The sequence below is a fragment of the Homo sapiens genome, chromosome 16 (genome assembly GCF_000001405.40).
Source record: "Homo sapiens chromosome 16, GRCh38.p14 Primary Assembly".
In the NCBI taxonomy this organism is placed as follows: Eukaryota; Metazoa; Chordata; class Mammalia; order Primates; family Hominidae; genus Homo; species Homo sapiens.
The window spans coordinates 76,622,118-76,634,404 of record NC_000016.10 but is presented as its reverse complement, the minus strand read 5'-3'; positions in this window follow the sequence as shown (position 1 = coordinate 76,634,404).

Genomic DNA, 12,287 nt, shown 5'->3' with positions numbered 1-12,287 from the left:
TAATTTGCTATAAAGCTTTTTTAAAATCTCTTTTTTCTTTCTTATCTCTGCAATATCTACTAACCAAATTAGGCAAGTTCACATCATAAATATTTCTAAAATGCATCTACTTTCCTTAATTCATAGTCATGAGCCCTAATTTGGGAGCTATCATATCCCACCTTTGACTGTATCAACTTCATTTTTTTTTTTTTCTTTTTGAGACGGAGTCTCACTTGTCACCCAGGCTGGAGCGCAGTAGCGCGATCTCGGCTCACTGCAAGCTCCGCCTCCCAGGTTCACACCATTCTCCTGCCTCAGCCTCCCGAGTAGCTGGGACTACAGGCGCCTGCGCCTGCCACCACACCCAACTAATTTTTTTGTATGTTTAATAGAGACAGGGTTTCACTGTGTTAGCCAGGATAGTCTCGATTCCCTGACCTCGTGATCTGTCTGCCTCTGCCTCTGCCTCCCAAAGTTCTGGGATTACAGGAGTGAGCCACCGCGCCCAGCGTGACTGTATCAACTCCATTCTGATCTCCATACTTCACTCTCACTCTTTTTCCCCTCCCTTCATTTTTACCTAAAACCAGAGTGATATTTCCTATATAAACATGTAATTACATGAACCAGATTCTCTATCTGCTTTCCAGAGTCTTTGGGAAAAGGCTAAACTCTTTAGTATAACTCATCTTATGCCCCAGGTTTTATTAATTTCATCTGTCTAGCTAAAAGAAACACATTTTGTTTCCCCAAGGGTAAGGGTTACGCATCACTTATCACTTTATTCTCAGCATTCTGCATCGTTGATTCAAGCCTGAAACAAATTTGGCAGTTAATATTTGTTGAAGTAATACACGAAGCAATACATAACATATTTTTAAATGTATGTCATCAGAACACGAATCTCATATACATTTTGTACATTTATTTTCTGTACCTACTCATCATTAAACTTTTTTGTTTTTGTTTTTGAGACGGAGTCTCGCTCTGTCGCCCAGGCTCGAGTGCAGTGGCGCGATCTCAGCTCACTGTAAGCTCCGCCTCCCGGGTTCACGCCATTCTCCTGCCTCAGCCTCCCGAGTAGCTAGGACTACAGGCGCCTGCCACCGTGCCTGGCTAATTTTTTGTAATTTTAGTAGAGATGGGGTTTCACCATGGTCTCGATCTCCTGACCTCGTGATCCGCCCACCTCAGCCTCCCGAAGTGCTGGGATTACAGGCGTGAGCCACCGCGCTCGGCCTAAGCTTTTAATAAAACATCTGAAAGGTATCTATAGAGGTGATGTCAGCAAAATGGCAGGAAAGGAGTTTTCCACCCCTGAGACAGCATCGCTCAGTGCCGAGAGACACCCTACTTGTTTGCTGTTTCTCCCACAAGGGAAAGTTACAGCATAGTGAGAGAGCATCTGACTCCTTCAGCTACCTGGAGTATTGCTCAAGAGGCCCATATTTTTCTCATCGTGCCCAAAATACTGAAGTAATCAACATGTCTGAATGGTTGAGAGGGACTGGGAGCACAGAAGTGAAACTCCAGACCCTACTAACCCCTCCACAGACTCCATCAGGAAGCCCACCCATCAGTCACTTAGCAAGCGTCACCTGTGAACTCCTTCTAACTGGCCAGCAGGCTCCTCAAAGGCTCAATGTGCCTCACTCTTTCACCCAGGACAGCTCATCAGAAACACCCTTGTGAATGACAACTGCAAGCAGCTTGTACAGACATCCCAACTTTGCATGACTGGGAAAAAGTACACAAACTTGAGTACTTTAGGGTGCCACCCCCAAAACAACAGGAGGGTATCAGCACCAGCTTTGAAGGTTCAAGAGAAGGCATACGGTATTAAGAATTCCCCCTCATAGAAAACAAGACATGTAGAGCAGTCACATCTATAGAAAAGATCTGAAAGAGCCTTGAAATTCCTGAGATGTTTGGTGAAGGTATTTCTTTCCTGTAGTCAGTCAGTAAAAACTGGAGGAGATGAGTTCTTTAAATGTGAATAAAGCAACACAAGACTCACAGATCAAGAAAATTCCAGAAGCAAGACACCACCAAAAGAACACAAAAATATTCTACTAACACTTCCAAAGAAATGGAGTTAGACAAATTGCCTGAGAATTCAAAATAATTGTTCAATGGAAGCTCAGTGAGCTACAAGAGAACACAGATAGGCAAGTCAATAAAAATGGAAAAGCAATATGTAAACAAAATTGGAAGTTCAGTAAAAAGATATATATCATAAAAAAGAACCAAAGAAAATTCTGTAACTGAAAAAGACAGTGAATGAAATTTAAAATGCAGTAGAAAACATTAGCAGCAGACTTGACCAAGCAAACAAAAAGAATTTGTGAACTCAAAGGCAGATTATTTGAACATATCCAGTGGAAGGAGAAAAAAAAGAATGAAAATGAATGAAGGAAGACTATGAAATTTATGGATACCATCATTACAGCTAACTTTTGCATAATGGTTGTATAATAAAGAGAAGAAAAACAGAAAGGCCTAGAAAGCTTATTTACAAAAATAATGGCTGAAAACTTCTCAAATGTAGGTAGAGGTATGAGCATCTAGGTATATGAAGCTCCAAGATTTCCAATAAGCTTCAATCCAAAGAAGACTTTACCAAGACATAGAATCAAACTCCAATAAAAGATTACGAACACACACACACACACAAATCAAAGATAAAGAGAGAATTTTGAAAGCACCAAGAGAAAAGAGGCTAATGATATATAAGGAAATTCCATCAGGCTATCAGTGGATTTATCAGCGAAACCTTGCAGGCCAAGGAAAAGTAGGATGATATATGTAAAGTGCTAAAAGAATAACAAACTGCCAACCAAAAATGCTTTACCCAGCAAAACTGTTGTTCAGAAATGAAAGGGAGATAAAGACTTCTCCAAATGAACACAAGCTGAGGAGGTTTATCATTACTAGAGCTGTTTTACACAAAATGATAAAGAGTTGAAAGAAAATGACACTAACTTGTAACATAAAAACATATGAAAGTACAAAACGCACATGAAATGGAAAGTATATTGTCTTAAAAAACAAATGTATTAAAAATAATTATAGCTATGATAACAATAGGTACACAGTCTAAAAAGATATAAATTGTGATCTAAGCAGCATACTATTGGGAGTGAGTGCAGTTTTTATATATGATTGAAGTAAAGCTATTAGCTTAAAATAGCTCTTTATAACTCTAAAATGTTTTATGTAAGCCTTACGGTAACTACAAAGCAAAAATCTATAGTAGATACACAAAAGATAAGGAGAAAATAATTAAAGGATAAGATTAAAAAGGAAGAGAGCAAGAGAGGAAGAAAAGAACAAAGAATCTACAAAGCAGCCAGAAAACAATTATCAAAATGGCAGTAATACCTATCAATAATGTAAATAGATTAAAATCTCCAATAAAAACATTCAGTGTCTGAATTGATAAAATAAAAAGATCCAATTATATGACGACCTTAAAAAGACTCACTTCCCCTATAAGGACACACACAGGCTGAAAATGAAGTAATGGGAAAAGATTTTCCAAGCAAATGGAAACCAAGAGAGCAGGAGTAGCTGTACTTATATCAGAAAACAAAATAGACTTTAAGTCAAAAAGTAGAAAAAGAGATAAAGAGGGCTGTTACATAATAATAAAGGGGTCCATTTCTCAAGAGGATATAACAATTGTAAATATAGATGTACCCAAAATAGGAGCAAATGAATAAATGAAGCAAATATTAAGATGTCTGACAGGAAAAATACAGTAATGCAATAATTGTAAAGGATTACTATACATCACTTTTAACAATGGATATATCATCCAGACAGGAAAATCAGTAAGAAAACATTGGACTTAAACCGTACTTTACACTAAATGGAACCAACAGATATACACAGAACATAACATCCAACAGCAGCAGAATACATATTTATCTCAAGCATACACAAAACATTCCCCAGGATAAATCATAGATTAGGCCACAAAACAACTCTTAACAATTTAAGAAGACTGAAATCATAAAAAGCATCTTTCCCAAACATAATGGTATAAAACTAGAAATCAATAACAAGAGAAAAATTAGAAAATATATAAATATGTGGAAATTAAATAACACAATCCTCATCAATGAAGAAGTCAAAAAAGAAATCAAAAGGGAAATTTAAAATATTTTGAGATAAATAAAATTCAACACACAAAAGTTATGGGATGCAACAAAAGTATTTCTAAGAGGGAACAGTAATAAATGCCTACATTAAAAAGGAAGAAATATCTCAAATAAATAATATTACACCTCATGGGATAGGAAAAAGAACACACTCAGCCGAAAGTTAGTAGAAGGAAGTAAATAACAAAGATCAGAGCAGAAATAAATGAAATACAGACTGAAACACACTATAAAAATATAAACAAAACTGAGGTATTCTTTTGAAACATAAATGACATTGACAAAACTTCATCAAGATTAAGAAAAAAGAAGACTCAAATACATAGAATTCAAAATGAAAGAGAATATATTACACCTGATACCACAGAAATACAAAGGATCATTAGAAATTACTAGGAATAATTATATGCCAACAAATTGGATAACCTAGAAAAATAGCCAAATTCCTAGAAACATATGCCCTACTAAAAGTGAATCATAAACAGAAAATCAGAACAGACTAATAATGAGTAAGGAGATTGAATCAGTAATCAAAAGTCTTCCATCAAAGAAAATTCCAGGACTTGATGACTTCACTGGCTAATTCTACCAAACATTTAAGTAAAAATTAATACCAATCTTTCTCAAAGTCTTCCAAAAAATGAAGGGAATAAAACACTTCCAAACATATTTTACAACACCCATATTACCCTGATACCGATACCAAAGCCAAACAAGAACACTAGGAAAAGAAAATAACAGGAGAATATTTCTGATTAACATAGATTTAAAAAATCTTCAACAAAATCCTAGCAAACAAATTCAACAGCACAGTAAAGGTATCATTATTCATAATCAAGCAGAGTTTATCCCCAAGAAGCAATGATGGTTCAACCTATGCATCAATAAATGTGATACACCACATTAACAGAATAAAATATAAAAATTATATGATTGTCTCAATAAATGCAGAAAGAGTGTTTGAAAAAATTTAATATCCTTTCAGGATAGAAACTGTCAACAAATTAGCTATAGAGAAATGTGCCTCAACACAATAAAAGTCATATATTATAAGCTCAGAGATAACATCATACACAACAGTGAAAATTTGAAAGCTTTTTCTCTAAGATCAGGGACAAGGCAAGGATTCCCACTTTTGATACCTCTATTCAACAGGAAGTATAGCCAGATCAATTAATCAAGAAAAAGAAATAAAAGACACCCAAATCAGAAAGTCAGAAGTTAACTTGTTTTTGTTTGCAGATGACACATTCTTATATATAGAAATCCTAAATACTCCACCAAAAACAGAACTAACATACGAATTCACTAAGTTGTAGGATACAAAAATCAAAACACAAAAATTAGTTGCATTTCTATACACTATCCCTCCAAAATTAAGAAAATTATCCCATCTACAAAAGCATCAAAAAGAATAAAATGCACAAGAGTAAATTAACCAAAGGGGTGAAAGATTTGTACACTGAAAAATGTAAACATTGATAAAACAAATTGGAAAAGATAAAAATGAATGAAAAGATATCTCATGTTCATAGACTGGAAGAATCAATATTGTCAAAATGTTTATACTAATCTTTATAATCAACAAAATCAATGTAGTACTTATTAAAATTATGATAGTATTTTTGACAGAAATAGAAAAAATATATCTTCAAATTAAAATTGTGAAAGATCTCAAAAAGCTAAAATAATCTTGATTAAGAAGAACAAAAGCAGAGGCATCAGACTTCTTTATTTTAAATTATATTACAAAGGTACAGTATAACAATACAGCACTGGCACAAAAACAAGCATATGGCACCAAGTATACACAATGGGAAATGTATAATCTCTTCAGTAAATAGTGTTGAGAAAACTGAATAGCCACACAAAACAAAACAAAATAAAATTGAATTCTTATTTTATACTTTACACAAAGTTCAACACAAAATGGATAAAAGTCTTATCCATAATACCTGAAACCTTAAAACTCTTAGGAGAAAACTTAGAGGAAAAGCTCCATGCATTGGTTTCAGCAGTGAGTTTTTGGATATGATACCAAAAGCACAAGCAATCAAGCCAAAAATAAACAAGTAGGACCACATCAAACTGAAAAGTAGTTTCTGAACAGCAAAGAAACAATCAATGAAATGAAAAAGAAACCTACTGAATGGGAGAAAATATTTGTGAACCATTTATCCAATAATGAGTTAATAACAAAAATATGTAAGGAACTTATACAACTCAACAGCAAAAAATAAATAGCCTGATTAAAAAATGGGCTAAGAATCTGAAAAAAACATTTTTCTAAACAAGACAGAAATTACCAATATTATATGAAGAAATGCTCAACATCACTCATCAGTAAAATGTAAATCAAAACCACCATGAGATATCACTTCATGCTTGTTATTATGGCTACTATCAAAAGGTCAAAAGACAACAAGTGTTGTCTAAGATGCAGAGAAAAGTGAGCCCTTTTCGCTTTGGTGGTAATGAAAATTTGTGCAGCTGTTATAGAAATTAGTATAGAGGTTCCTTTAAATTTTAAATATAGAACTATCATATGATCCAGCAATCCCACTTCTTGGTATATACCCAAAGGAAATAATATCACTATCTTGAAGATATATCTTCACTCCCATGTTCTTTACAATATTATTTACAATAACCAAGATATGGAAACAACCTAAGAGTCTGTTAAAAGATGAATGAATAAAGACACATGGGATGTGTTCTACAATTCCATTGTACATGTGTGTACAATGGAATATTGGTTGGTCTTAAAATAGAAAGACATCCTCCATTTGCAACAACAGAGTTGAACATAGAGGACATTATGCTAAATGAAATAATCTAGACACACAAACATAAATACTACATGATCTTACTTACGTGCAGAATCTTAAAAAGTTGAACTCATAGAAACAGGGTAGAAAAGTGGTTACCAGGGGCTGGAGTTGGGAAAATAGTAAAATGTTGGTAAAATTGTACAAACTTTCAGTTATAAGACGAATAAGTTCTAGAGACCTAATGTACAGCATGGTGGTATATTAATAATAATGTATTTTATAGGTGAAATTTGCTAACAGAGTTGATCTTAAGTATTCCTACCATAAATATGTTAGTTTGTGGCCATCCTTCCTCAATGTACACATATATCACAACATCATGTTGTACACTTTAAATATATACAATTTTTGTTTATCAATTATACCTCAATAAAGCTAAAAAACACAAAAATACATAAAAAGCATGTGCCTTCACACATGCTCATACCCACATATTTCCATATATTCACTTAGATCTCATTACATCCATGTGCCAATAGGAAGGATAAGAGAAGAGAGGAAGCAGAGTAGAGATATATCCAGGGTAGTACCTACCGTGCAGCAAGAGAATGATGGTGAATGGCTGTGAATATCTGCTCTCTGTAGCACACTCTGTACTCTTAGTTTGATCTAACATTTAGCTCACCAGTGCTCACAGACAATTCAAAAATCACATTTTTATACATATGTAACCAAGTAAATACAAAGCTTTAAGAGTTATTCACACAGCTATTTTCTTAACAGAAAGCCAATGGCACAGGGACAGATTGGTGAACCTGCCATTGGATTTCTCTCCAATCATGATTCTACTTGTCTTCATGGTCTGTACTGTCTTTGGAGCTTTAGCCACTGATAATTTATAGACATTGCACACAAACATGAACACACATGTCTCCTTGGCTATTTACATATTGTGAATGGCTAAACTGGACCACAGAATTTTATACATTCTGTTCAGACTTTTCCTCATCTTTCCACCCCTCTGAATGACACACAAAGAAATGAAATGATCAAAAGTCACTGGTTTGCATCATGGTGATAAGAATTTCTAGGAAATGTGAAAATGGAGCCCTTTTGCAGGTCATGGCTGGAATTGAGGCAGAGAGAATGTTGGCAGAGCGGTGAAACCACAGTTCTCATAGCTGTAGGTATTCATTCTAAGTCACAGGCTCTACAACAACTTATTCACTGGTGGTTTGAAGGTATTTAAAAAGCCATTTCGTGATTTTTGGCCAGGCACGGTGGCTCACGCCTGTAATCCCAGCACTTTGGGAGGCCGAGGTGGGCGGATCACAAGGTCAGGAGACTGAGACCATCCTGGCTAACACGGCAAAACCCTGTCTCTACTAAAACACACAAAAAATTAGCTGGGCATGGTGGTGGGCGTCTGTAGTCCCAGCTACTCTGGAGGCTGAGGCAGGAGAATGGCGTGAACCTGGCAGGCGGAGATTGCAGTGAATCGAGATTGTGCCACTGCACTCCAGCCTGGGCGACAGAGTGAGACTCTGTCTCAAAAAAAAAAAAAAAAAAGCCATTTAGTGATTCTCTGTTAGCCAAATATCAGTTTCTTAAAGCAAGAAAGAGAAAAATATCTGAAAGTAGCGTTGTTATTTTCCCTGGTGGCACTAGGTCTGCCATCCAGTATGGTAGCCCTTAGCAGCATGTGGCTACAGTGGATATGAAATGTGGCTAGCCCGAATTGACATGTACTGTAAAAATAATCATTGAATTTTGAACATTGAATATAATTGTTTTGTCATAAAATATTTCATTAATAAAGTTTTACATGTATTACATATTGAAATGATCACATTTTGAATACCTTAGTTTGAATAAATTATTAATTCCATATTACCTGTTTCTTTTTACTTTAAATGTGGCTACTAGATTTTTTTTGCATCAGAGTCTTGCTCTGTTGCCCAGGCTGGAGTGCAGTGGCATGATCTCGGCTGACTGCAATTTCCACCTCCTGGATTCAAGCAATTCTCCTGCCTTGGCATCCCAAGTAGCTGGGACTACAGACATGAGCCACCACACTCGGTTAATTTTTATATTTTTAGTAGACACAGGGTTTTTCCATGTTGGTTAGGCTGGTCTCGAACTCCTGGCCTCAAGTGATCTGCTTGCCTCGGCCTCCCAAAATACTGGGGTTACAGGTGTGAGTGACCAAAGTACAGTGGTTCTAGGCCACTGCACCCAGCCAGAAATGTTTTAATTACCTGTGTGTCTCACATTATAGTTCAGTTGGTCAGGGCTGCTCTACATAGTTATATTCTTCAGTAGTCAAAAGGAAAAAGTGAATTGGGACTTCTCCTTTACATCTCATCCCCATGGGCAGACAATTCATCTCCCCTACACTTGGACAAAGCCCAGTCACATTAGGGAGGGCAATCTACTCTGCCGGGTCTACTAATTCAGGTGTTAATCTCAGCAAGAAGCACCCTCAAAGACATACCCAGAATAATGTCTGAATGAATGTCTGGGGACTTGTACCACAGTCAAGTTGACACATAAAATCAAACATCACAGTGAGACCTTAAATATTTTCTAATTCCCTTAAAAAGCAGTTGTGTTCCTTTAAAAATCATTTTTAGTCACTCTGTTTGCTCTGATACCCCTATTACTTGTCCTGCAAAATGCAAGTTGTAGCTAATAATTGTTGAAGTCTTTATACTGATAATTAACTTGCATGCATGTAAGTTCATTTTACTCTAGTATGTCATCATTACATTATTTTATCAGTAATGCTTCTTGGTTGTAAACAACTGAAAACAACTCTGGATAACTTAAGTAGAAAAAATAAGGCCTAGGAGGGAGATCTGAACGCCTTCAAAAATGCCTGGAAGGTTGGAGAACTGTCAGGAACTGAAAGAGAGGACAGGCAGTAGGAAAAACAACCAAGACGACTCTTTGGATGTGAACACCTGCATTGCTGAATAATTAATGACATTGATGTTTCCATTCCTTCTGGACTTATGTCTCTCCCTCAAATCCTACGTGGGTGCATTCAGTTGAAGAACCCAAATCACACACGGCTGTGCCTTCGCCACCACAAGAGGATTAAGCTGATTTCTTGCATGTTGAAAGGCAGGACCCTGCCCACCTGACACAATAAGGCCTGCCACTAATTTGAGAAGGGTGTTCAGATTCTGGGTAGCATTTTTAGTGACAAATATCCCACAGATTCCTCCAGAAATATTACTTCTGTGGTATATAATAACAGATTGGCAGTAGGGTTTACACAGAAATTAGAAGCGTATATTTTCAGTAAAATAAAAGATGCTAGTATATTAACTATAGCATAGTTTTAAATTTAAAATAAACTTCATAAAAATGAACTTTGCGAATCACAAAAATTTCTTGTGCCTTCCAAAATTTAATTGGCCCTTCCAATGAGTCTCTAATGAGGATTGAATCCTAGTTTCAGAACCTTTCAATTTTTTCAATCTACAGACATTTATTGACCTATTAGTCTTAGTTCTCTTAGAATAAAAGATCAAAGAACAGCAGATAATTACATATGGACATTTCCATTAAAGTGCACCATGTACGTTTTTTTTGCAATTGTTAATGGTGTATTGACACTATGAGAGTAACTCATTATATTCTTGACTTCATATATAGCTATGTGTATAATTAGCTATTCATAGATAAGAGTGCTTATTTAATTGACATTATCAAATTTTAAAATTCCACTTTTATTTACCTAAAAATATACACCATTGAAGCAGTTGATGCACATGTTAAAAATCAATAGTGCCAAAGGACTTGTCATGAAAATTAAAACTCTTCTAACCTATAATTTTATGTCCTCAGTGTCACCTATTTTAACCATTTTTAGTTTTAATTATCTTGGAGATTACACATAGAAGGCTAAGTGTTCATATTGCAATCTTTACAATCTATTTTCTATGCAAAGGCATTGTATGACAACATTTCCTGTTTGTATTTCATAGTGTATTGATCCCATATCGTCACCAACAACTGTAACTGGTGGAGAAAAAAATGAAGGTAATTAGGAGGATAACAATGGAGGAATAAGAGGGACTGAATCAGAGATATTCCAGTTACTATATTCTCCTCAGAGTTGGCCTTATCCTGTCTCTCAATGCAAGGAAACAATCTGGGGTAAATTGTTGAGATGCCTGGACATTCACTATTTGAGTCTTTATTTGAGAATGGAGAGAAGCACACCCTTCATCCCAGGTATGTGATGATAGGCCTTGAGCTCATGTGTGTCCTGGGGCTGTTATGCCATCCCTGTGTAACCACCGGAGCAAGAACTACTCTAATCTCAAACTTGTTACATAGTTTGTTTTCGGTCTGGTGACAGTTCGTCAGTCAGAATGCAGCTGCTATTTGCAGCTTGGTTTATTTTCCCCTAGAAAACTCAAGCCAAGAGAAAAATGTTAAGGAAGCAGAAAATTTATTTTTGGCACTTGTTCATATATTCAGTATTTTGATGTCACAAGTGAGAAGAATCTGAATGACAGTCCATACCAAGCACCAAGGTCTAGATGTGAAAAATCAAATCAGGGGAAAAGTCATCTATTCTTTGAAGTGAAAACTAGAACTTCTTCAAGTCTAAAGGCTTTTTTGTTATGGTTGTGTGTGTTTTATTTGCAGTAACATGTGTGCATGCACACACACATTATTGGTAGAGATAGTTTTCTACTTAAATAAGTTTTGTATTGATATTTCAAAGCACACATAAATGAATATGACTTCCACATTTTAGACCGCCTGTTTAATGTTCTAGGCAATACAGCTTGGAAGCTGATAAGAATTCTACCCTCTGACACAAAACCTGATTTCTTGTGGTTTCTCCCACCTTAGTAAATAATATTGCCATCTTTTCAGCTGCTTTGGCCAAAAACTTGGAATTATCCTGTAGTTCTTTTTGTTTACATCCATTTTATTTGCCACAAGCCACAACCAATCCACCAATAAAACTACTCAGCTGTCCATTCAAAATATCTTTGGAATCCAACCACTTTTCAGTACGTCCATAATTAACTTCTTCATCCAACATCATCTCATTGGATTTTTGCAGTAGTCGGCTAACTACTCATTCTCTCTCTGCATTCCTCATCCCCTTATGTTTGTTTTCCATAAAGCATCCATTTTTGTATTATAAGTCAGATCATTTCACTAAAGTAAAAGTAAAACCAGAATACTTATTTGTGGCCCATGGGTCCCATGTAATCTAGCCACCTGCTACTTTATAACATCATTTACCATCACATATATTCATGCCACTTCATCCAGATCATCCTTCTTGAAGATACATTGATCATGCTCTCATCTCTATGCATTTGCACATGCTGTTCCA